This window comes from Homo sapiens, chromosome 8 (genome assembly GCF_000001405.40).
Source record: "Homo sapiens chromosome 8, GRCh38.p14 Primary Assembly".
NCBI lineage: Eukaryota > Metazoa > Chordata > Mammalia > Primates > Hominidae > Homo > Homo sapiens.
Window position 1 is genome coordinate 47352019 of NC_000008.11, and position 25637 is coordinate 47377655.

The 25637-nt window shown below is 41.0% G+C and overlaps 1 protein-coding gene and 1 long non-coding RNA gene across 55 annotated transcripts in view, besides 2 other annotated features; one reads left to right on the top strand and one right to left on the bottom strand.

The window, feature by feature from the left end:
* Positions 1-25637, top strand: part of SPIDR (scaffold protein involved in DNA repair) — a 475429-nt gene that overhangs the window by 91141 nt on the left and 358651 nt on the right. The gene's annotated exons all lie outside the window — the stretch shown is intronic.
* Positions 856-2055: an enhancer, noted in NCBI's record as "P300/CBP strongly-dependent group 1 enhancer chr8:48265441-48266640 (GRCh37/hg19 assembly coordinates)". NCBI's record gives its function as "activates an origin of replication core promoter dependent on BRD2, BRD4, P300/CBP, MED14 and CDK7 cofactors, with strong dependence on P300/CBP, by STARR-seq in HCT116 cells {active_cell/tissue: HCT116}" and the evidence as "EXISTENCE:reporter gene assay evidence [ECO:0000049][PMID:35650434]".
* Positions 3285-25637, bottom strand: part of LOC107986940 (uncharacterized) — a 30305-nt gene continuing 7952 nt past the window's right edge. The window contains exons 2-3 of the long non-coding RNA XR_001745888.3: positions 10978-11036; positions 3285-6006 (exon numbers count right to left, since the gene is read on the bottom strand). This is a non-coding gene — a long non-coding RNA (uncharacterized LOC107986940). The remainder of the gene's footprint in view (positions 6007-10977; positions 11037-25637) is intronic.
* Positions 10149-10218: a silencer, noted in NCBI's record as "silent region_19170". NCBI's record gives its function as "represses an Ori minimal core promoter by ATAC-STARR-seq in GM12878 lymphoblastoid cells {active_cell/tissue: GM12878}" and the evidence as "EXISTENCE:reporter gene assay evidence [ECO:0000049][PMID:35858748]".

Here is a 25637-nt window from a genome sequence, read left to right on the forward strand (position 1 = left end):
CTGTAATCCCAGCACTTTGGGAGGCCGAGACAGGTGGATCACGAGGTCAAGAGATCGAGACTATCCTGGCCAACTTGATGAAACCCCGTCTCTACTAAAAATACAAAAATTATCCGGGCGTGATGGTGCGTGCCTGTAATCCCAGCTACTCGGGAGGCTGAGGCAGGAGAATCACTTGAACCCGGGAGGCGGAGGTCGCAGTGAGCCAAGATCGCGCTACTACACTCCAGCCTGGTGACAGAGCCAGACTCCATCTCAACAAAAAAAAAAAAAAGAAAGAAAGAAAATAATTTGACCGTGTACTTCTTGTTTTCATCTGGAGTCTAGGCTGTAAAATATAAACATTACAGTTAAAGGCTTTATATGTCTATGTGTCTTAGCCTAGACATTGGATATGTGTTGCTATGGGATGAGAGATCTGATTTATTTTAGCCACTAGCAGTAAATGTGGTGAAAAATTAAGACTGAAAACTACAATGTTGAGGGGTGAAAGGAAGGGCTAAACATTTTTCATTGTGGTGGATTCTGCCAGCGTAGACTGCTAAATGTTTGTGGTTTGGATCTTGTTCACTCTGAACGCTTTAGGCCTTGTGTAGGTTTTCCCCAGAGTATGAGGTGGTTGTGAACTGCTTTTGCTAATGGTGAGAATGAACTATCATGATGTTATATAACAAGGATGGCATTCTGGGAGACGCAAAATTTAAAGTAGGGGAAAAGGAGGATGGCAAAAACTAAGTAAAGTAACTTGAAAAGTTATTCTTTCTGCCAGGCGTGGTGGCTCACGCCTGTAATCTCAATGCTTTGGTAGGCCGAGTCGATGAGGTTGAGAGATCGAGACCATCCTGGCCAACGTGGTGAAACCCCATCTCTACTAAAAATACAAAAATTAGCTGGGCGTGGTGGCATGCACTTGTAGTCCCAGCTACTTGGGAGGCTGAGGCAGGAGAATTGCTTGAACCCAGGAGGCAAAGGTTGCAGTGAGCCAAGATCATGCCACTGCACTCCAGCCAGGCGACAGAGCGGGACTCTATCTCAAAAAAAAAAAAAAAAAAAAAAAGTTATTCTTTCCAAATATGATACAATTTTGTTCAACTTAATTTTGTTAAATTTTTATTCAAAAAGTTAAGTTCTAAATAGCATCAAACATGGTGGGAGTCAAAATAATTAAAATCGTATTTTTTCTGAAAGTGTGTAGACTGCCTGCATACTTATATATACGCCAGATTGTATTTTACTTACCTTCTCATTTGCATCTTACCCTTGTGGCCGAATTAGCAGGACCTGTGTGAGAATGACATAACTTCACCGCCTCTTACCTGCTCCAGCTGCAACGCGTGAGAGTGCTGAACTGTGGCCTAGATTTTTCTCTAGGGCTTTCCACGGAAGTGAGTCAACACATTGTTTCTGGCTTTTCTTGCTGTCCCTCCCTAATATGCAAGCTTAGGTTGCTTTGGAATTTTCCAGGTACAGTGTTGGAGAAGTTGTAACACAGGAGGAGGCCAGAGCGTAGGTTTAGTGTGGTGGGGAGAGGGTTGGAGCAATTGTTCAAGGGAAGATTGAAAGTGACCAAAATGGCATGAGGGTAAAAATGTTACCTGAATTAAATATGTACCAAACACTGAAAATCCCTTATTATATTTTAGTATCTTTTATCATTGTATTTTAAAATTGATTTAAATCTATACTGAGATTTTTTTTTTTTTTTTAGTGTGGATTTCAACACATTTTTTGTGCTTTTGCCAAGAACACAGTGTTCTGTTAAGTCATTCAGTGACGAAGATTGCTGGATTGCTGCCAGCCCGGGTCAAGTTCATTCACATAAGTTTCAGTGTAGATTCTGACTGAGTGAGGAATGTTCCTCTTGTCTTTGCATGTTAGGTGGGTCTGGGAAATCAGTTGTTTTAAAACAAGCTTATTAATACTTTTGTTTTTTTCAGGGTTATGGGGTTTTTTTGCTTTTAAGGCTTCATATACAGACAACGCTTTGATACTAGTATCACATTCTTGTCTATTTACTGATTTTCCATGCCTGATTTGGTGAAATAACAGCTCTCCTAACCATACCAGATTAGAATCTACCGTATAACGTATTGACTCTGCTGTATCATTTTAAGGTATTATTTTATATCTTTAAAGAAAATATATTCACAAAGTGCCTTTCTCAATCATATATGTGAATTAAAAAGTTGGGAAAGGTGACTTAGAAGCTACAAAAATATAGTGTTTGATAAGGTGTATATACCTATGAAGATATATTCATGTTTATGTATTTTATTCCTTCACTCATAGTTCTTCCTCAGTTTCTTTATTTCGTTTGCCATCTTTTTTTTTTTTCAGCCACAGAAGTGCATTTTTTTGCATTAAAAATGCAACCAGTATACAAAAAGCTAAGGATTGGAGCTTATTGATCACTCATTTGGCACTTATCAGTTTTGCCTGAGAATTACGCATATTTAAATAATTTTTTTTAAAAAATTTGATTTCTGAGTGAACAAACATATTCTGCCTTACAACTAGCTTACAAGACGTTCAGATGCTAATGTTTTTTCTGTTCATTGTAGTATTTAACCAAGGTAATAAATTTATGTTTATACTGATGACTGTTTTCATTTATTTATTTTAAATTTTTTATTTTTTTTTAGAAACAGGGTCTCACTCTGTTGCCCAGGCTGAAGTGCAGTGATGCAGTCATAGCACACTGCAGTCTTGAATTCTTGGGCTCAGGTGATCCTCCTGCCTCAGCCTCTTGAGTAGCTGGGACTGTAGGCACGTACCACCATGCCTGGCTAATTTTGAAATTTTTTGTAGAGATGGTGGTCTTGCTGTGTTGCCCAGGCTGCTCTCAAACTCCTGGACTCAAATGATCCTCCTGCCTCGGCCTCCCAGAGTGTTGGGATTACAGGCATGAGCTACCACACCAAGCCCTAATGAAGGTTTTTTGTTTTTCTTTTCTTGAGCTGGAGTTTCACTTTTGTCACCCAGGCTGGAGTGCAGTGAAGCGATCTCGGCTCACTGCAACCTCTGCTTCCCCAGTTCAAGTGATTCTCCTGCCTCAGCCTCTTGAGTAGCTCGGATTACAGGCACCCGCCACCACGCCTAAATAATTTTTGTATTTTAAGTAAAGACAGGGTTTCAGCACATTGGCCAGCTGGTCACTAAACTCCTGGCCTCAGGTGGTCCACCCACCTTGGCCTCCCAAAGTGCTGGGATTACAGGCGTGAGCCACCATGCCTGGCCGATGAAGGTTTTTTGTAAAAAAAAAAAAAAAAAAAAATACTGCCTTAGTATCTGTTGGAATGTGTGATTTTTTTTTTTTTTGCTCATGTCTGGTAATTAGCATTTTTGTGATCATTCATTATGTCCGTATTCATTAATGCCTTTCTAGAATCTGATAGAATGCCTAGCCTACAGTTGCTCACCAGGTACTTAAAACCTGAACAGTGAATGCGTAACAACCACAGCTCAGATTTGCGGTAACGGAGCATTTATGTCTGGGAACCTATTTGATATCACACATACATGAAAAATAAGTGAAGCAAATAAATCACAAGCATATGTTTTTACAGACATAGATTAAGTATTTAAAACCAAACATTATCAGAAAGCTATATTATAACCATTCCTTTGGGACATTTTTCTGCATGGGTTACATTGGCTGGGCTACTTTAATCAGAGTCCAGTGAAGTTCGAATGGAAGTTACATGTTTTCCCATTAAATCTTCCTTTGACAAAAATATTTATTCATTGTTCTTCCAAGGACCTCTAAACACTATTAAATATTTTTTAAATGTAGATTGAATGTGCATAGATTTCTCAGAAAACCTTTTCCTGTTAAATTCCGGAAGGAGTTTACTGCTTCCTCCCACTTCCCCGTGGTGGCTCTTTTGCAGTTGTTAGTCAAGAGCTGGGCTTGGGTATCACATCACAATAGTGCCAAGAGCCTTGGCATAGCTCTTGGTAATCATTGCCTTATTTACCTCTCTCCCCAAATAGGCTGCAGGTTCCTTGAGGGCCAGGATCATCATGAATGAGTGAGTGAATGAATGAATGTAGCAGACACAACACATGTGGACAAGTAGTGGCAGGGACTAAAACTGGTGGCAAAGACTTGTATGCTCATGAGCTAATGATTGAAATACCTGTATCTGTGATAACAGCGTAATAGATACAACTGTTTAAACATTAAGTCCTCGTGAAAATAGAATTGGTGATATTATACTTTTTGGTTTATACTTATTCCCTTAAATTTCTCTACTTTTATGAAACAGTTTTACTCCTGAAATGAAGGTGATGGGATAAAGTTAAGGGATCAGAGTCGCTGTCTTGGGAGCATAATTTCTCATTCAGTGAAGGCCCCCTCAGAGTGCTCATCAATATCGACGCATTCCTGTGGGAGCTGAGAGTATTTAACCAAATATGTCTCCTGATATAATCAAAATTTGCAACCATGGGAAGAATTAAGTGGAGAAAGATTCTGCACTTAATTAGGAAAAATAGTTAAAGAAAGGAGTGTCTAATGATCACATGGCTTGGTCATTTGAAAACCTATTACCAGGATTATATACGATAGTTAAATTTTAAGTAGACTGCTCATTAACAAAGCTGAAGTGTCCCATGGGTTGACTATGTGGCTATGATTGTATAACTTATATTTCCAGAAGAAATTTTAGTGGAAAACATGATTGCACAGACAGCACATTTGCAGTGGGTGGTAGCAGGGGATAGGGGGTGGTTTGCATCTGTTACCTAAAGTAAGACCAGTATGAACATAAAGTCCTAGAAAAATTTGGATACTGAACTTTGGTTTTTAAAATGCGTACAGTAAATGAAGCTGCTGTTCTGTGAGCACCTACCTACCATGTGGGGTGCTGCAGAATCTATTTTACACATATTTTCTCACTCAGTTTCCTCAATGACCCTGTTGAAATGGGGTTTATTTTGCATATGGGGTAACTTGGCTGTGTCTCAAATAAATTAAAAAGTTGCCTAGCATTACTTGCCAGGAAGGGGCAGAATGAGAACAACCAAGGGAATCTTAGAATTAGATCATAAGAGAAGAATCCCATTGTGTTCTACTAGTCAGTTTAAGTTGAGTGCTTGTGTAACATATTTTCTTAAATAGGTAGGAAATTAGGGGAAAGAGTGTGAATTTATTGGCTAGGCTTATAAGAGAACAGATAAGATTTCTATGCTAGCCTGCTTCTTGTTCATCTTTTACTAAGAGTCTGGCATCCAAATTTCTGGACCTTGGCACACTTTGGTATTTGGTATGAAGAAAGGAAAATCATTCCACCTGGTTCCCATGTCCCGACACCCACGCCATAACTACCTGTCAGAACTCGCTCTGCTTATCTGTCCTGCGTGGGAGATGGCAGCACTCTGCCCTGCTCAGTGTATGTCTCGTGGTTACTTGAGACATCCACCAGGCTTAGCTCTAGGATATCTGCCCGAAGAAAAGATGGAGTGGAGGGGCTTAGATGGCCAAGAGAAGAAATTCGCTCAAATCAAACTTCTTTATTTATCTTATTTTTCGTCCATCGTTTTACTCTGGTTATGGGTTACATTCTTTCTGTGGTATGATGGAGCAAGGTAGCATTTATTTTCCTCACCATATAATTTTTGGTTCTTTTGTTTCAATTGAATTGAACTTCTAAGAAGGCAAGCACAATGAGCATAGTACTCATTTCCATAAATATGTGCTTTTGTTTTGTTTTTCACTTTTAAGAAAGAAATTTGAAGTGTGGAAGTTGGAGTTCTGAAAAAAAATTAGGGAAGGAAATGGAGAGGATATAAGGAGAAAGGAAAGGAGATCTCATACATGTTAATCGTCTAGTGTTTAAGGCCACATGAAGGTCAGTAAATGATACTGGAGAGCATTAAATAAGAAGTACTCACCTGTGATTTCAGCAGGCTTGCATGTAGTCACGAATATATGTGTGGTTTACATTCACTCTGGCAGTCTTTCCTCTCCAACCTGGTGAGAATTAGCATCCTTGTTTTCCAGACCTGTTAACCAGTAAATGACTGTTCGGCAGACTATTTTATTTTTTATTTTTGTTTGCATATTCATTTGTTTTAGGTCTCGCTCTGTTGCCCACAGTGGAGTGCAGTGGCTGTTCACAGGTGTGATCATGGCTCACTGCAGCCTTGAACTCCTCCTGGGCTCAAGGAATCCTCTAGCCTCAGCCTCCTGATTAGCTGGGACTACAGACATGGCACACCACCGTAGCTAATTTTTATAAAAAGTTTTATAGAGATAGAGTTTCACTATGTTGCCCCAGCTGGTCTCAAACTCCTGGGCACAAGTGATTCTACCGCCTCAGCCTCCTGAGTTGCTAGGATCACAGATGTGAGCCTCCTTGCCTGGTCATTTATTTTTTTTAATTTTTAAAGAAATAAATATTGAGAGATTATCTTATTTTTTTCTCAAATACCTTATGTTAGAAATGATAAATTTACAATGTATACTCACTTCTGAGTTTGGCCTGTTTTCCTGAGGTGTCAGAAGACAGGATCTAACACTAGATTTTAAGATTAAGGTTTGAGGCTAAGATCTCTCTACAGCTTTCCCACAACAATCTTGTGAAGAAGAAATGATGAACTCAAGCCATGTCATTTCTCCCTGTTGCTATTTCTAAACATGGCATGGCATTGGCTTGGATTGTCTCATTAAAATTTGTTTTGCAGTTCAATTGCATTATCTGATCCCTATATTACTTCAGTAGCAGAATTTTAAACATTTTATGTCCATTTTCTGCTTTTATGGGCTTTAGTCCTGCCCATTGGTATTTACATTTAGGAAGTTAGGACGTAGGATACATATATACAGACATACTCCTCCCACCCATTGCAGCACAAATAAATCTCAATTGATTTTTCTCTCTATTAATAAAATAACCTGTGATCACATAAATTTCTGGTAGTCTCTAGGTGGAGGCAATTGGAGTTAACATTTTTGTACAGTTTGTTTTCATGTTAAGACACTAACTCTAGCATGACTAGGATTTCAGAGACATCTGTTTATAGGATTGAGCACAGAGATCTGATTCCCTCCCACCAGTTAAAAAAATTGTTAAAAAAAAAAGTTTTTTTTTACGGGCGCCTGTAGTCCCAGCTACTCGGGAGGCTGAGGCAGGAGAATGGCGTGAACCCGGGAAGCGGAGCTTGCAGTGAGCCGAGATTGCGCCACTGCAGTCCGCAGTCCGGCCTGGGCGACAGAGCGAGACTCCGTCTCAAAAAAAAAAAAAAAAGTTTTTTTTTAACAAATTTTGTATAGTGTTGTTTTATAATATCCACCTTGGCACATTCGATGAAAGTTTCAAACTTCGAACTTCTCTTTTTTGGAAAGCACCATGGGTCAAGGGCCCTGTTTGTTTAGGAGTCCTGGGTCCCCTTTGTGTGTCAGAGCATGCAAAGGAACCTGGAACAGCCTTTCTTCTGGGCTGTCCTCAAAGGGGCAAAAAGGAAAAAAGAGTTGATGAATGCAAGATAGTGATTTTATGAGTCACCTTTTCTGCAGTGACATGCATGGGTAGAGGATGAATTTGTTTAAATTCTTTTTTCCCATATTTCTAGAAAATCAATTAACTACAGGTAGATGTTAAATGAGATTTTGATCACTCAGCATTGTGCCCTATAGAGTTTGTGATTATTCTATAGCGGGTAGAGAGCATCCTGTCTCTGAAGAAAGTATAGTCCTTGTTTCTGTGTGTTATGATTGTTTTTTGACTCAAGAATATATCATAATTAGTGGTTTTCATTTTGGAATGTGCTGCCAGCCTCTTTCTCTTAAAAAATGGGATACTTCGTAAGAACAAGCTATGATACTGTGATAAGTATTGGCTTCCATGCTGTATTTTCTACATATGTATGCATGTATGTCAAAGTGTTTGAAAGAGCCTGGAACAATTTATCACTCTCTCTCATTGAAATAGAGGGACTGGGCTGGGTGCAGTGGCTCACGCCTGTAATCCCAGTGCTTTGGGAGGCCGAGGCGGGCGGATCACAAGGTCAGGAGATTGAGACCATCCTGGCTAACATGATGAAAGCCCATCTCTACTAAAAATACAAAAAATTAGCTGGGCGTGGTGGCGGGCGCCTGTAGTCCCAGCTACTCGGGAGGCTGAGGCAGGACAATGGCATGAACCCGGGAGGCGGAGGTTGCAGTGAGCGGAGATCGCGCCACTGTGCTCCAGCCTGGGCAACAACAGAATGAGACTCCATCTCAAAAAAAAAAAAAAAAAAAAAAAAAAAGAAATAGAGGGACTGCCTTTCCCTGGAGAGAGGCAACAAGAATCAGGCTCTTCGTCTAATTGCTGTGTGGTTAGTGAATTTTCTACTATTTCTCGGTAGTCCCTAAGTAGCCAAACTGTATCATTCTTCTGTTTTAATTTGGTAAGCCAGGAGAAATTAATTTTGCTCAAGTTGTTTGTCATTGATCTATTTTAACTATATTACAGAATAAGCTCCAGGGCAGGAGCCTATGACTGCCTGTGGACCAGGCAGGTGGTGAAAACCCGTAGGCTTAGAGGGCTCTGTTTGACTGGAGAGGCTGCCATGGCTGAGCACCGGGGCTGTTGGTAAACTCCAGCCAGCTACGTGTGCCTTGAAAGGATGTGATTCCAGCGTTGTCAGGTCTTCTCAGTTTTAAGAGAGCTGGCTGTTGTCCAGATAAGTATGTGAAATCTCCCACTTTCTACATGTTGGCAGCTAGTTCAAATGAAAAACAAAACAAAACAAAAAACAGAAGTGAAAAAGTCTGTGGGGCAAAAATTTGTCTACTGGTCACCAGTTTGTGTCCAGTGCTTGAAGGTATCTGGTGGTGTTTTCAGCCTTCTTCTTGGACGTGCTGGACCACAGACACTGCTTTGGTGCTGTTTGTGTTCATGGTAGGATAAGACTTTGATTCAACCAGTACTTCTGGAGTGTATGGTGAGCATTCACATATTATTTCACACTTTTAAAAAATGCTCATGATTTTTTAATATTAAAAATAAATAAGTGATGCTGATAAAAGTGTAAAAAATGTTCAACTGATAAATGGATTACATGACCACAGTTACTTAAAAGAAGGTAGCAAAAGTCCCAGTGCTGTGATCTCAGGTACCTCTGACCTCAGTTTTATCATCTGTAAATTGGAAATGGTAATACCTACTTCTAGAACTTGTGGTGATGTTCATATGGAGCATCAGGAGGAGGAAAACTGCATTGTCAGCCACAAGGCAGTGCATGAATTTATCATGGGAATAAATCATTAATTTTTATAAGAATTCAGTTGAGCCTTCCATCCATCTGACCATTGGTTAGGAGGAGACAGGATGAGCACTCAGTGCTGCTGGTTTGTGGATCTGTGGCACACTGTGGCTCCCAGGAAGGGCCTGGGTGGGGATGGGCATCCCACTTGTGAATTGGGCAGTCCACAGTCCCAGAGCTAATGAGCTTAGGTTGGATGAGGCTGGGTTAGGCAGGTAGGAACCAAAACCAAATATTCACATATGAGTGCTAGTTAGAGCTGTGTTTCTCAAAGGATGCTCCTCCAACCACTGACTACAGCAGCTGGGAACTTGTCAGCAATGCACATTCTCAGACGCTTCTGCCACCTCTGAATCAAACTCTGGGGTGGGGCTCCACCCTCCTTGTTTTAACAGCTCTATAGGTGGATTCGCTGGTTTGAGAGTCACTGAGATCTCAGAGGGCCATGCTGAGCAGCAGGCTTGCAGGTCGGAGAACTACAGTTTAGGGGAGATGAGGAATGTAAGACAGATGAGGGCAGGCAAGGACAGGAGCACCAGCCTGAGGCCAGGCTTTATTTTAGTTGGCTCCATATGGTTTGAGAGAACAGGCCCTTCATGATGAAAGTTAGGGATGCAGGGACCCTTAGTTGTGAGGGACAGCACATGTGCTCCCAGACTGCCTTTTGGTATAATTGTCCAGACCAGAGGCTCCACGTGCTACACATTTTTTTCAGCCCTTGATAGTCAGAGGTAGACCTCGAAGTATCCACAGTGAGCCCAGCACAGCGTACTGGTGGCCAGAAGTGTGATCACAGGTGCCGAAGCTTGGCAGGTGTGGAACTGGGTGCTGCAGCAGTGGGTGTGCCACCTGTGTATTTGCATGCAAGTGTGGTACACTCATTTGAGGTCAGCTCAGTGGAGGCCAGCTGTGCTGTCCTAGACGTGGCCTATGGTGCCACAGCCTGAGAGATTCTGCTGAGAGTGTGACTGCCTTTTATAGTGCTGACAGAATCCATTGTATCGCTTTTAAAGACCTGTAATGATTGTGATTAGCCGCAGAGTTGAAAACTCCCTAAGTGCTATTGCTTACTACTGGGAGTCAGGACTAATGAGTCCTCCTATGCATCCTGTGGCTCGGAAGGCTGCCTTGAACACATCTCCCCTGGTATGAAGGGCCCGGACCCAGTGTCATCTCCAGCATTTCCTCCCCTTGCTCTTTGACCACACATCACTACACATTGGTATGCCAGATCTCTGCCAGTTTTAGAATGTATATTGATTGTGTCTTCCTCTGTCTTTGTTTTAAATGAAATAGATCAGGCACACAAAAGTGTAAAGAGAAAAAACAAAAAAATGTAAAGAGAAGGAATGAACACTCATATATGGTGTTTTTTGTTGGTTTGTTTTGTTTTGTTTTTCGAGACGGAGTCTGACTCTGTCACCCAGGCTGGAGTGCAGTGGCACAATCTCAGCTTACTGCAACCTCCACCTCCCAGGTTCAAGCAATTCTGCTTCAGCCTCCCGAGTAGCTGGGACTACAGGCATGTGCCACCATGCCCGGCTAATTTTTTTTGTATTTTTAGTAGAAACAGAGTTTCACCATGTTGGCCATGCTGGTCTTGAACTCCTAACTTCAAGTGATTCACCCGCTTTGGCTTCTCAAAGTGCTGGGATTACAGGCGTGAGCTACCACGCCCAGCCAGTGTTCTTTTTTCTGGCCAACATCGCCCATTAGACAACATACCTGTTCTCACCAAATCCTATTCCGCCTGCAGATGGTCAGCACAGATGTGTTGTCTCTACCTGGTAAATTGACAGGGCAGTAAGTTTCTCAGGGCTCACATTACAGTAAGCTCCACAGAGTCCCCTAGACGAGTTCATGTAGCAAAAGCATCTCTGAGGGAATTAAAAGGTATAGAAATTAAAGCTGTTTTTTTCTTTATCTCTCTTTTTTTTTTTTTTTTTTTTTTTTGAGACAGAGTCTTGCTCTGTCACCCAGGCTGGAGTGCAGTGGTGCAATCTCAGCTTGCTGCAAGCTGTGCCTCCCGGGTTCACACCATTCTCCTGCCTCAGCCTCCCAAGTAGCTGGGACTACAGGCGCCCGCCGCTACTCCCGGCTAATTTTTTTGTATTTTTAGTAGAGATGGGGTTTCACTGTGTTAGCCAGAATGGTCTCGATCTCCTGACCTCTAGATCCACCCACCTCAGCCTGAGATTACAGGCGTGAGCTACCACGCCCAACCTTTTTTAAAAAAAAAAAAAAAAAATTAGGTCAAAGAGTATTTCAGACTCTTCACTCTCCTAGTTTCCCTTCTTCCCGCCCCAGGCTCTGGCAGTGATCTCTGGGGAGGAAGCTTGTTGGATAGCTACTTTCCACAATGCTTATGTTTGGAACCGTAGTGAACAGTTATTTATGTTATCGAAATGATATTTTAAAAAAAATACTCCCTTTCTGATTTTGCCATCCATAGAACTGAACTGTGCTCTATACTACAGTTCAGTTTGGGGACCCCTGAGCTCACGTTCTAGTTAGGAGGGTGTGGTGGCCAGCTACCAGAGTGGTATCTAGGTGGTTTTTCTGTTCTGTAGGTTTTTTTTTTTTTTCTCTCTCTGTCTCTCTCTCTTTCATTTTGGTGGTAGGTAAGGAAAATCACATCACTCTCTTCTAGCAAGGTCTATGAGCTATTTTGGGGACATGAAGGAACGTGGTAGATACCCCTGTAGAGGGTCTACACTCATTTGAAGGTAGGATTCTTTGTTCTAAATACACTTGGATCATTGTTTCAGGAGAGAACATGGAGAATGGGAAAATAAGCTTTTTGTGCTCACTCATTGCTTCTGTAAAAGTATTAATTCTTCAGCTAAATAGGAAATAAAACGTTTGGTTCTTGATGAAAGTATTTTGTACATTTTGCCTAGAACAGTAACTGGTCACATTTAATCCTGTATAGGCTTGAAACTGACCTCAGCCTCTTCTAGACTCTCACAGGGCTTCTGCCTTCTTGGACAGCAAGCCAGGGTTACTATGAGTCGATGTTCCTTTGGTCCCTTCTGTGTCCTTGACCTGTATTCTGCAGCTGGAGCCTCCTGGTAGCTCCCAGCTGAAGTTCACCTGGAGAGTTACTGCCATCGTGTTGGCCTAATTTGGGTCAAAAGTAATCAAAAGAACCCTGGCTCTTGTTCCAAGAAGTGTTTTTGATGCAGAGCTTCAATGCAAGTTTTGTTTTTCAGTATGTAAGGTGTGACGAACCTACCCCAGAAGGAGGGAGTCATTCCACTAGTTGGTTCGGGGTGCGCAGTTGTTTAATTATCAGTTTGGCAGGCCCCAGTTTTTCTTCAGTTCACAAATAGAATTCTCATTTGGAATATATCCAATGTTCATTTGGTTTCTTTCAGTTGCAGCAAATCTTACTATGATTTGAGGTTTTTAAATACTATGTTTTTCAGGAAGTCTTTTCGGTGGCATTTTCTGATAATGCCAGCCTGATAATCCAAAAAAAAGTCTGTTAAAAAGCAGATTTGCCTGTAATCATTACCTTTTTTCTGAGTTTGTAATCAGACCTTGTCTTGAATCTGTAAATCCTGTGGAGTCTCAGGTGATTTTCCTGACTTTCCCTGCATGCATGGAGGCAGGTAGCAGATGGATGGGCCTTTATGCCCCGTCATGTGTGGGTGCCCTGGCAGAACCCTGCTGCTGCCCTCCGTCTTCCCCACAGCAAGCCTGTGGCCATTACAACTTGTGCTTCTCTGTGCATGTACAGCACAGCATCTGTAGCAAAAGGAGTCTGCAAGTATTTTGGAGAGTAAGACCTGCATGGCTTGTTTCCTTCTGCCAGAGAACCTAGAACAGGCAAAGACATACATGTGTTTTTCCTTTGGAGGCATCAAGCTCCTTCCTGGACATTGAACTTTATAACAATCTGTGGGTGAATCCGCCCTATTCCTGGACTTGCAGAGAGGGTCTCCCTGGCCACCTTCCACATTCACGTGGTCCAAGTGGCATGAGAAAGGATGGAAGCCTCCTCACACCTGTCCCCATTTACCTTTCCCTATCGGCAAACATCATTATTGTGTTCTTCCAGAGACTTAAATAAATGTTTTTGAAGATATGTTGCCTGCCCTTTATAGACACATGGCAGCAAGTTCCACAACTGCTCAGGAGACCCATGCACATCTTAGCATGCCTCGGGTCTTTCCGAGCAACATGGGAAGGTTTCTTTTTTAACCCCCATGGTGTGCAGCCTTGCATTGCATGGCAGTACCCTCATCTGTTTAGCTGTCCTCTCTAGGCGGACTTTCAGATTGTTTCCCATCTTTTGCATGTGAAAATGCACATTTTCCAAGTTCTGTTCCTTTTCCTGCATTAAAGCTTCTTGACCTTTTTCCTAGAATTTTTTGTTTACTCCTGTTTTAAGAGTTTTAAATTTTATTTAATTGAAACATGAAATAAATGTACTTTTCTATGCCTCTGGGCTGTTATTTATGCTGTTAATTCATTCATGCAGAGGCAAGGGTGGATGACCTATTTTATTAACCTCTATTCTAAAGACTTCTTCCAGGCAAGTAAAGATAAAGAGATTATAAAAATAGGTGAAAGGTCAGGACAGGAAGTGCAGATTGGATTGTGAGAAAAAAGAAAAGCAAAATGCATTTAATTTCTTGTGTGTGCTGCATAAATGCTATGGGATAAGAAAAAATATGTATGTTTACACATACATGCACAAGCACACACACACACACACACACAAACACACAGAGTTCCTGATACAGTGGGAAAGGTAAAATGTACCTATTAAAAAAAAGACATGAAGCCAAAGCAAGGTAAAGATAAAACCAGGTGGTATAGGTCAGAGGACAGCAAGTAAGTTGCAGATGAGAGTGATGAGACGTCTTTTTGGAGCTGACCGTTCCCTGCTTGGGTGTGTCTGCCTGAGAGAGCAGCTGAACAGAGGCTGAAGGTGGGGTCAGAAGGTGAGGCGTCCCAGGGACTGAGGGTGTGGTGTGGCATTGGATGACGGGGTTTGGAGTATGACTTTGGGGTCCAGGGGACACTGTTAGCCTTAAGTGCTGGGATGAGGAGCTTGGATAGCTGTGATTAGATTGTGGGGGCTGTGGTTCCTGAAGAGGAGAGCATGGAGCACAGTGTTAGGGACTTTCTTGGGAGATATGTGTAGGATAGGGCAAGGCTGTGCACAGACAGAAAGAACAGGAAAGAGAAGGGAGGTCAGTGCAGGAGACCAGTGTTTCTAATGATTCTGCTCTAGGTACGAAGTGTGTTTCAGAGTGGCGAGGAAGGGCAAGTTGTTAAGATTGGTTGTTGAATTAGTTTCTGTTTGATGTTAAAGATAACATAGAGTAAATGATAATCCCTCGAAAGTGGAGATCTTGGCAGGCTGGCGCCTGGTGGTATAGTAGAAATCTGAGAAAGGGGGAGGATATTAAGTCAGTTTTATCAGGTAAAGTTGAATGAAATAATCAAGTTTAAGTGCGTCTTGGGTATTTGCAAAGATGTATAGATTAAGGCTAAAAGGGTTGGAGAAATAGATTTGGGAGTTACCTATGATTTTTTTTGGTTATTCTGCTCTCAGGATTGAAAACTAAAGAATCTCAGAACTGCATTTCTAATTAGTGCCATAAAATTCTTTATTGATGCCAAGTTTTTGTTTTTTCCTTGTAAATTGTGGTAGGTAGAATTCTAAATGACCTCCAGTAGACCCACTACCAGTATATATTGCATAATCCATGGGACTGTGTGACTAGGGTGGCTTATACTCCTGTGATTATGTTTAATATATGGCACAGTTGACTTCGAGAAGGGAATTTATTGTCAGTGGGCTTGACCCATTTGCCAGAGCCCTTTAAACCTGTATTTAGAGGTCAGAAGCTGAGGAGGTAAGAGATTCGAAGCAGGAGAGGGGTTTATGTGCTGTTGCTGGCTTGGAGATGGAGAGGACTACCTGGCAAGGAATGCAGCAGTATCCAGGAGCCCAGAGCAAACCCCAGTTGATAGCCAACAAGGAAACAGGGACCTCAGTCCTATCACTGCAGGAGCTGAATTCTGCTAGTACAAAGAATGAGCTTGGAATTGGATTTTTCTCCAGAGCTCCCAGAGGAGAACTAAGCTCCACCACCACCTTGATTTCATCTTTGTGACACTCTGAGCAGGGGACCCAGTTAAAACATGGCCAGACTTCTGACTTCTGGAGCTGGGAGCTAATAAATGAGTGTTGCTTTAAGCCACTAAGTTTGCGGTAATTTGTTACACAGCAATAGGAAACTAACAAAGTTTTTGAACAACAGTTGAAAGTTACAGGTAGTATAGACCATTATATAAACTCACAAATTTAAGACAGTGGGAATATGGGACTAGAAAGAAGTTAAATGGTTGGTAAGAAATTCTACCACTTAGCCCACATTGCCACCCTTCCCATGGCCAGCCCACTCCACTCCTTTCATAGCACTTAGTGGAGTGTGTCCATAACCCGCCCAAGTCTTGCTCAGTGTTGTAGCAGCAGCATTGTAGCAGATACTTGGTTTTCAGCCTGAATGTATTCAGTGAACGAACGTAGGAAGGAATTGTGAAATGCTAGTTGGAGAAAATAAGCAGCTGGAGGAAAGAAGGCAAGCTGGAGATTATAGGAACAGTGATTCAAAGCCAAATTAGAAATTGTAGGACGATGCTTGTTATCCTAGTCCACTGGGGCTGCTGTACCAAAGTACCACAGATCGAGTGGCGTATAAACAATGGAAATGCATTTCTCACAGTTCTGGAGGCTGGGAAGTCCAAGGTCAGGGTGTCAGCAGATTTGGTGTCTGGTGAGGGCAGCTTCCTGGTTCATAGGTAGCCATCTTTTTGGTGTAACCTCACATGGTGGAAGGGACAAGGCAGCTCTCTGGGACCTTTTTAATAAGGGCACTAATCCCATTCCTGAGAGTTCCACCCCCTTAACCTGATTACCTCCCAAAAGTCCCACCTTCTCATACCACCACATTGGTGATTAGTTTCAATGTACAAGTTTTGGGGAGGACACAACATTCAGTCCATAGCATATGTCAGTGGTTGTTAACAGAGTCAGAAGGAGTTGAGAAGTCAAAAAAAAAAAAAAAAAAAAAAAAAAAAAAAAAAAAAAAAAGGATTTTGCTAGGGAGATCCCACTGCTGAGTGCAGATGGCTTTCTGTGAAATACTGAAAACTAAGATAAGATTTCAGTAATTAGAATTAAAAAGCAGATCCTTGGATCCTGGTGTCATCTTGCCAGCCATCTTGGTAAACATGCTGTGGTCTTGATGAGACAAGAAAATTGCCATGTATGGGCATGTTTTTCATGCTTGCCTTCAATGCGCATGTCTTTTCTGCGCAGAAGTGGTTAACATATGACTAACCTATGGAAAAGAAGATCATGTGTGATCTTTTATGAAAAATGATCAATAGTCTCCTTGTTAATATCACTAATAACTTTATACAGCCTATTGAGTGTAAAACATACATGCAATATTCAGTTTCCTGTTTAGTGATGGAAAAGGTCTGTTCTGTGAATGTTTATTAGCATCAAAGAATTCTGGGCACGATTTTTAAAAACTGAAAAGGGAAATAAATAGGTGAGATACGAAGTCCCCATATGGTTGAAATGTCTAGAGATGAAAGGGCTGGAAACAGCTTCTATCAGAGGTTTGTTAGAACTTATGAAAGTTGTAGTAAACTGCTGTGATGCCAGATAAATGACTGGTAATGTGTCTCTGTGTCCAGTATGTGTTTCATAGGCACGTGAGAACGAACAAACTTTAGAAGGTAGCCATTTATTACATAGAAACTAGAAGCTTATTGGGGAGTGGGTTTGTATATGAAGAGGACATTGCAGGATATCATAAAATGAAGAGAAATGTGACTAAGATTCTCACATTGTGCAGGAACAGGTGAGTGAGAGTGTTCTTCCCCTCTGTCCCTTTCAGTTGGTATCATTATCAGGTATTTTTTCAGAAAAGGTTTCTGCAAGGAGTAAGAGAGGCAGCTTCTAACAACAAAGGTTACACAGACATGATTTACCTTTTGTGGACTAGCTTTACCCCAAATTGCATTGTTAAAGTTTTGAATTTATAATTAATGACAGCGTGGACTACTTAGTATTTTAACTGTATTTGAGACCACAAGTAGTTTCTTCAATATTTTCTCAAGCCCTTGAGACACTTAATTCTCCCTCTTGACTTCCTCTTCATCTTAGAAACTGCAATTTCCTTTGTAGGAACAACTTCCTGCTGGGTACTGCCCTCTTTGGCCACTTCTGTCTTGGGTGCCTATGTTTTTATCTAAAGCCATAAGTGCATTGCAACACTAGCCATTTCATCATCATGTGAATTGAGAAAGTCTAGCAGGAAGTCACAAGTTGATTGTCCCCAATACAAGCCCAAATGTTTCTTGGTTGCTGTGTCATAATAGGCAGTTGGTGTTCTGAATGGCAGTTATGAAGAGGATACTTTGTAGAAAGGACTTCTTTTCTAGAGATATATTTAAGAGCCTGATCATTGGAGAACAAAATGCATGCGGAAAGGAAATATTTTAACCACAGTCTAAAAAAGATCTTATGGTCCAGTGCTGTTTTCCCTTATAGTCCTATTAAATTCATTAATTTCCAATGGTGACTTTCTTGGTTTGTCTGGATTTTTTTTTGTTTTTTAAGGGTTCCCTACCCCCCATTTTAAGGGAGAGTCTTTTCCTTTAACACAATGTAAAGAAATCTCTTTTTTTTTTTTCATCTTCCATTTTCTTTATTTTCTGCACTGTAAGTCTCTTCTGTTAGTTTCATCTTTCTTTTCAGGACCTGGCTTCATGATTGTCTCCGAAAAAGATGGTCTTGTAGGCACAACGATAGGTCAGCAGTAATTAACCTATGAAGTGAGTGGTGATTACAAATGTGGTCGTGGACTCTGGAGTGTCTTTTCCTGTGTGTAACATCTTATGGAGAAAGAAATCTGTCTCCTTAGAAGGCAGAAGGGACCTCTTTAGTTGCCTTCTGTATCAACTGCATAGGAGGCGCAATGTTGATTTTCTCTGTGTTGCTATTCATATAGAGCAGTTGTCTCTAGGGCTCCCAACACATAAGAAACAGTATATCACACACAAAAATATTTTTCTGCTGTTGTTATTTAGAGATCAGATAAGCAGAAGCTTTCAGTAAGTGAAGAGGTCAAGATTTTTTTTTTTTTTTTTTTTTTTTTGAGACGGAGTTTTGCGCTGTCGCCCAGGCTGGAATGCAATGGTGCGATCTGGGCTCACTGCAACCTCTGCCTCCTGGGTTCAAGCGATTCTCCTGCCTCAGCCTCCCGAGCATCAGGGATTACAGGTGCGCGCCATCATGTCTGGCTAATTTTTTTTTTATCTTTAATAGAGACAGGGTTTCACCATGTTGGTGAAAGGCTGGTCTCAAACTCCTGACCTTGGGATCCACCCACCTCAGCCTCCCAAAGTGCTGTGATTACAGGCATGAGCCACCGTGCCTGGCCAACATTTATTTATTTTATATTCTCTCGCATAGTAGATTTTTAAAAATCTAGTAACTGGCCACTGAATATGAAAAAAAAATTTTAAGTTAAAAAAATAACCTCACCTTTTTCAACCACAGTTCCCTGTAGCCCCTGCCACATTTCCTGCTCCTGCTTAACAAACCCTGTTGAGATAGTTGTCTAGGTTTGCTGTCTCTAGTGTCTCCTCTCCCATCCCCCCATGCTAACTGCAGTCCAGCTTCTGCCTCTGACCTCCACTGTGCTGGTCACCAAGGACCTACACAAGGTAGAATCCAAAGGCAGACTGTCTAGCCTACATGGCTTACAAGCAGCAGTGGGACTGTTGATCACTTGTGCCTCCTTGGATAACACAAGCAGGTTTTTTTTTTTTTTTTTAAGGAAAAAAAAAAGAAAACCATTAAAGTATAGATGCCACTACATGAAACTGTTGTTTCAATTACTGACACTTCTGTCTTTCCAGGTGAAATGTGTGTTGTGGTCCAAAGAAGTTTGAAAAAAAATTGAAAACCCTTATGTAGATCACAGGGATTAAGAGCATGGACAACCTGGGCTCAGACAGCCAGGTTGGAGCCCACTGGTCACTAACTGTGCCTGGAGCAACTTACTTAACCTTTTTGAGTCTCAGCTTCTTAGGTGGCTTATAAACAACAGAAATTTCTCAGTTTTAGGGGCTGGAAGTCAGAGCTCAGGGTGCCAGCATGGTCTGGTTCTGGTGAGGGCCCTTTTCCAGGTTGCAGTCTGCCAACTTCTCATATGCTCACATGGCAGAAAGAACAAGCTAGCTCTTTGAACTCTGCTTATAAAGCTCCACTCTCATGACCTACTCACCTCCCAAAGGCCTCACCTCCACGTTTTGGATTAGATTTCAACATAGGAATCTTGGGGGGAGACACATTCAGTGTAATGGTTTACTTCTCTGTAAAATGGGTATAATAATTTCTATCTCATAGGGCTGTAGTAAGAATCAAAAGAGGTCATGAAATAAAGCCTCTGTCACATAGTGCATTGCTTCAAAAAATTAATAGGAAGTAACTGGCTAGATTCCACCAGGTAAGACAGAAATCTTCTGCTTGGAGCTTTCTGTGATGTGTTAATCTCCTTTCAGCCTAACCGCTCATATTATTTGTCCCCTGGTTCTGCCGTATTGACTACATGGTGACTCTCCAAACATGGTGGACTATTCAAGTGTTCATTCCTCCATCTCTGTTCTCCTGCTATTGCTTTGCAGGAGCACCCTTCTCTTCCCAGTCTTGGCCCCAGCCTATGAAACATTTACTCATTTTCAAGTCACCTCTTCTGGGAAGACTTCCCCATCAACTTCCATGCCTAGAAACTCAAGTCCACCCATGTCCCTGATCTATTACAGCACCTGTGACTCTGATGTTTTTGATGTATTTGCCTTTCTGATCCTTCTTCTGTACTTTGAGTTTCTGAGGTCAAGAAAAATGTTTTATTTATCGTTTGTCCCCAGCCTAGGACATTGTCAGGCTCATAGTAAACATGTAATTAGTGTTTGATGGGTGAGTAACGATAGGAAGGCTTATCTTTGCATAGCCGGTGCTAGGCATTAGGGAGACAAGCTACTATCCCTGTCCTTAAGAATTTTAACTTTGGGAGTCTGAGGTGGGCGGATCACCTGAGGTGAGGAGTTCGAGACCAGCCTGACCAACATGGTGAAACCCCATCTCTACTAAAAATACAAAAAATTAGCCAGGTGTGGTGGTGCATGCCTGTAATCCCAGCTACTTGGGAAGCTGAGGCAGGAGAATCGCTTGAACCTGGGAGGGGGAAGTTGCAATGAGCCTAGATTGTGCCACTGCACTCCAGCCTGGGTGACAGAGCGAGACTCCGTCTCAAAAATAATGATAATAATAATAATAATATAATAATTTTATAATGTCTTTCATTTAATCCTCATGATGATTTTGTGGAATAGGTATTATTCTTTTACAACTTTTTAAATTTTTAGATTCATAGGGTACATGTGCATGTTTGTTACATGGGTATATTGCATACTAATGGTGATTGGGCTTCTAGTGTACCCATTACCCAAATAATGAACATTGTACCTGATAGGTATTTATTATTCTTTCTCTGAAGTTGGAGACAGTAAGGCTCAGAGACTTTGCAAAACCAGGTTACACCCCTAACAGAACACTATGCCTGAAATTCTTAGCAGGGGTTAGGTACTGTGCTAGTCGTGAGGGCAATGAAAAGGAAGAGATGATAAGGCTAGGATTAGGATCTCCAAGAATGTATTTCTTAATTATGAACCTTGTGATCTAACTGGAAATTGGAGATACACCTGAAAATATTCAGTACACTACTGTGGAATGTATTCCTGGAATGATAGTATAAAATTATTAAAAATCTTCAGTTCACCAGAGAAGTAGTATTTCAGATAGGAGTCTCCTATTTCCTAATTGAAAAGCATAAATTTAAAAAAATCACATTTGTTAAAAATTCCATAGACTAATTTCCTAACTTGCCAATTTTTATTTCAAAAGAATTAGAGACTATCATTGTGTCACTCTTATTTAGGGTATATTAAACATTTCTGATCCAAGCAAAGTTTTACTTATAGTGTGGAGAAAATTGGGCATATGGTTGGTACACATTAGTACTTTGTGTGGTGTTTGGCAATTTGAGGGAGATGTGCATTCAAAGTACTTGAAATTTCAAGGTTTAAAATGTGGCAGTAGTTTAGGTGGGATTTTTTTTCTTTTTTTTTTAATTTTTATTTTTGTTATTATACTTTAAGTTCTGGGGTACATGTGCAGAACATGCAGTTTTGTTACGTAGGTATAAAAGTCAGTGCTTTTCATTATGTGGGTGTGAAGTATATGCTCTAGCCATATTGCTTCGGTGATTTTCAGTAGATTAAGTCATCCATCGTCTTTGCAAATCAAGGAGGGTGTTAGTGGTAGGCCCAAACTGCTATTATTTAAAACTTCTGTAGAACTCACATTAATATTTGATTGTGTTGAAATGCAGTTTTCTGGCTTAAAATCAATTTTTTAAAATTCCAAATTAAAAAGATAAATCAAATGTGAATGGTAATGATTTTCAGTTATTAATAAATATACAAGGGCACAGGCCTAGGAGAAATAAGTTGTGGTAAGTACTTACCCCTGAGGTTTACTTTTTAAAGTGCTACATACAGTCAGCCCTGGTAGGCATGTGTTTCTGTTTTATTTGTTCTTGTAAAGAAAGTTGAGCTGTTTTTGACCTGTTGGTGTGTGCTGTTTTAGGTTCGTTTGTTTTATTCATTCTAGGTGTGGTGATGGTTTCTACTGAGACGTCTTTTTTTCTCTTATTCATCTGGAAAATTTAAAAGCTAGGATTAGGGACAGATTTGGAGAAAGTCTATCAAAAGGGATTTTAGAAGAAAATAAATAGATAAACCTGACATTTCTCTAGAAGTTAAAACAGGATAATAGTAAGCAGTTCCATTAAAACTTTTTTTGCTGGCCAGGCATGGTGGCTCATGCCTGTAATCCTAACACTTTGGGAGGCTGAGATAGAAGGATCACTTGAGCCGAGGAGTTCGAGACCAGCCTGGGCAACATAGTGAGACCCTGTCTCTTAGGGAAAAAGAAATTATTTGCTTTATATCCTGAGTTACTCATTTAAACTTGTAAAATAAAGACTGTATCTATTCAAAAGTAATTAAACTTTATTGCCTAGAAATATAAATTGTCCCATTTTGGTTATATTTTCAAATTATTTAGGCTAAATTATTTTGTCTTGCATATGTAGTTTTAAGTCTAAATATCCAGTCAGGTGGACTTTTGGTTTACTTCATGTCTGTCAGAAGAGAATATCTTCCTGTTTGTCTCCATCCCAGGGCTCTTCATGAATTTAGTTTTAGATGTTTTCTTCATTTTTAGCTAAGTTTTAATCTTCTAATTTGTTATGGACAGCTTGGCTTTCAGTTATACCTAATTTAATCAAGGAGACAAAGCCTTCTGTTTCAAGAATGTGATTTTAAAACACACGTTTAGGTGGGGCATTGTGTCTCATGCCTGTAATCCCAGCACTTTGAGAGGCCAAGATGGGCAGATCACTTGAAGTTAGGAAGTTTGAGACCAGCCTGGCCAACATGGTGAAACCCTGTTTCTACTAAAAATAAAAAATTAGCCAAGTGTGGTGGCGGAGACCTGTAGTCCCAGCTACTCAGGAGGCTGAGGCAGGAGATCACTTGAACCCGGGCAGTGGAGGTTGCAGTGAGCCGAGATCGCACCACTGCACTCCAGCCTGGGCAACAGAGCAAGACTTGGTCCACCTCTTCCCCCAAAAAACCCCAGACATTTAATTATAACAGACAAGGCCAGAGAGATGTGTAGCCAAGGTTGATGGACAGTTTTCAAGGGATAAGATTTTCTTACTTTGCTTTGTCTAGTTTAAAAGTTTTATTCTTTTGAGGGGCAGTGGGGAATAGATTGAGTTAAGAGTTAATAGGCTTTTTTTTTTTTTTTTTTTTTTTTTTGAGCCAGAGTCGCACTCTGTTGCCCAGGCTGGAGTGCAGTGGTTCAATCGTGGCTCACCACAACCTCCACCTCCCAGCTTCAAGCAGTTCTCCTGCTTCAACCTTCCAAGTAGCTGGAATTACAGGCGCACACCACCGTGCCCAGCTAATTTTTGTATTTTTAGTAGAGACGGGGTTTCACTATGTTGGCCAAGCTGGTCTCGAACTCCTGACCTCATGATCTGCCCGCCTCGGCCTCCCAAAGTGCTGGCATTACAGGCATGAGCCACTGCGCCGGCTGTTAATAGCTATTAAGAAAACAAAAATAACAATTGTTTTCTAAAGCACGGCCTTCAAAGAAATAGGTTTAATTGTTCCATGTTCTCAAGCTACTAGAAAAATTTTTTTAAAGAGGCAGTGTCTGGCTGTGTTGCATAGGCTGGCCTCGAATTCCTGGGCTCAGGGGATCTCCCTGAGTAGCTGAGACTACAGGTGCGCACCACTGTGCCCAGAAATGTCTTGTTTTGTTCAGTTTCTTTTAATACAGTTGTCATTAAATCAGTAAGTTGTAGATGTTGAAGAAAGGAATTTGAATACATTTGGGGCTCTTAGAAGCATTATTAAGAATCTAGCACAATAGAAAAGCTTTTTAAGTTTGACTTAATTCAAAGTTCTACATTACCTGAATGCTTAAGATTATGTTAATGCTGAGACAGTGTTCCCAGGAAGTTTGTTATTAATCCCAGGAAATCCATCATTTTACATGACCTTAGGATAGAATTATTTCTAAGAAAAAAATCATTTCAAAATCATCTCTCACTGTGCCTTTTTAGGGACTTTGATTGTGTTAGACACACTTTGAGGTCTCTGAGCAACACTGAATCTAGGTAAATTAAACCTTTTTGTTGTAAGAGCCAGTTACAGGAACTGAGCAGGAATTGAAGAGCAAAAAGATTATTTATTTCTGGCTAGCTTTAAACATGGATGAGATCACGTGCCAAGTAATGTGAGCAGCCTTTTGAAGTTGAGAGCAGCCTCAATTGCTTGCAAGGAAACAGGGACCCCAGTGTGGAAGGAACTGAATCACACCCCAAGCAGGTGTGATTGGAAGAGGATCCTGAGCTCCAGATGACAAGGGACCCCAGCCAGGACCTTGCTTTTGGCCTTGGGAAGCCCTGTATATAGAACCCGGTCATGTCATGCCCAGCCTTCTGTTTACCCAGATAAAGTTTGAACAGAGCTGTGAGCTGATAAATGGGTCGTGTTTTAAGTTGCTAAGTTTGTGGTGATTTGTTGTGAAGCATTAGAAAACCCATACAGGGCAACATTAACCAGTCTGGAATATCCCAGTGCCAGTGGCAGGATCCCATACATCAATGTCTCTTCAGAACATTTGATGTTGTACTAAGGTCATAGTAGGTTCCAATAAATAGTAAGTTGAATTTTCAAAATCACTATACTTGTAGTGTAGGTCATCTGAATTTTAGAGTTTTGTAGCATATCAAGGTACATTGAGTGATGAGGAAAAACATCTTGAGATTTTCCTTAAAAAAAAAAATTTTTTTTAACCTAGTAAAGAAATTGAGAAACATCATTTTTATTGAAGTGCATTTGTTCTGGATTGGGGTTGGCAAACTATAGCTTACAGGCCAAATCTGGCCTATCACCTGTCTCCATAAATAAAGTTTTATTGGAGTACAACCACACTCACTAGTTCATGTGTTATCTCTGGCTGCCGTCGCATTACAGTGGCAAGGTTGGGTATTTGTGACAGACACTGCATGGCCCACAAAACCTAAAATATTTACCATATAGTCCTTTATAGAAAAGCTTGCTGACCCCTGTTCTGGATGGTGATTTGCTTTCTAGCCACAGCCACATTCATTTAACCCTAAATGGCTTCCATCTCTGGGGACTGGTATTTCTTTTAAGTCCTTTAAGTTACTATTTTTAATGTATTTAGCTATACCTGATTACCACCAGGGTTGTATAGACTGGTTTTTACATCTCACTGTACTGAAATGATAGGAAATGTGATAAAATTAATACAATCCGATAAACTTTGTGTGTTTGGGGTCCCTAAGATTATCTCCAAGTTCAGTGCTTTGCTAGAAGGAGTCCTAGGACTTAGAAGTAGGTATACTCATGACTGCAGTTTATTACAGCAAAGGAAGCAAGTGGGAAAGATGTGTTGGGAGCAGTCTAGAGGAGACCAGGCACAAGCCTCCAAGTGTCCAGTTCCATGGGAGTTGCACAGGACACACTTAGTTCCTCTAGCAATGAATTATGGCAGTTCATTATGTGCAAATATTGTCACTTGGTCCTAACAGTTGAGGATTTTTATTCTGATTCAGTTTTGTAGATTCACAGGGCCTGTGTGACTGACCACAGCTACTGAAACTGCAGTCCCTCAGGAG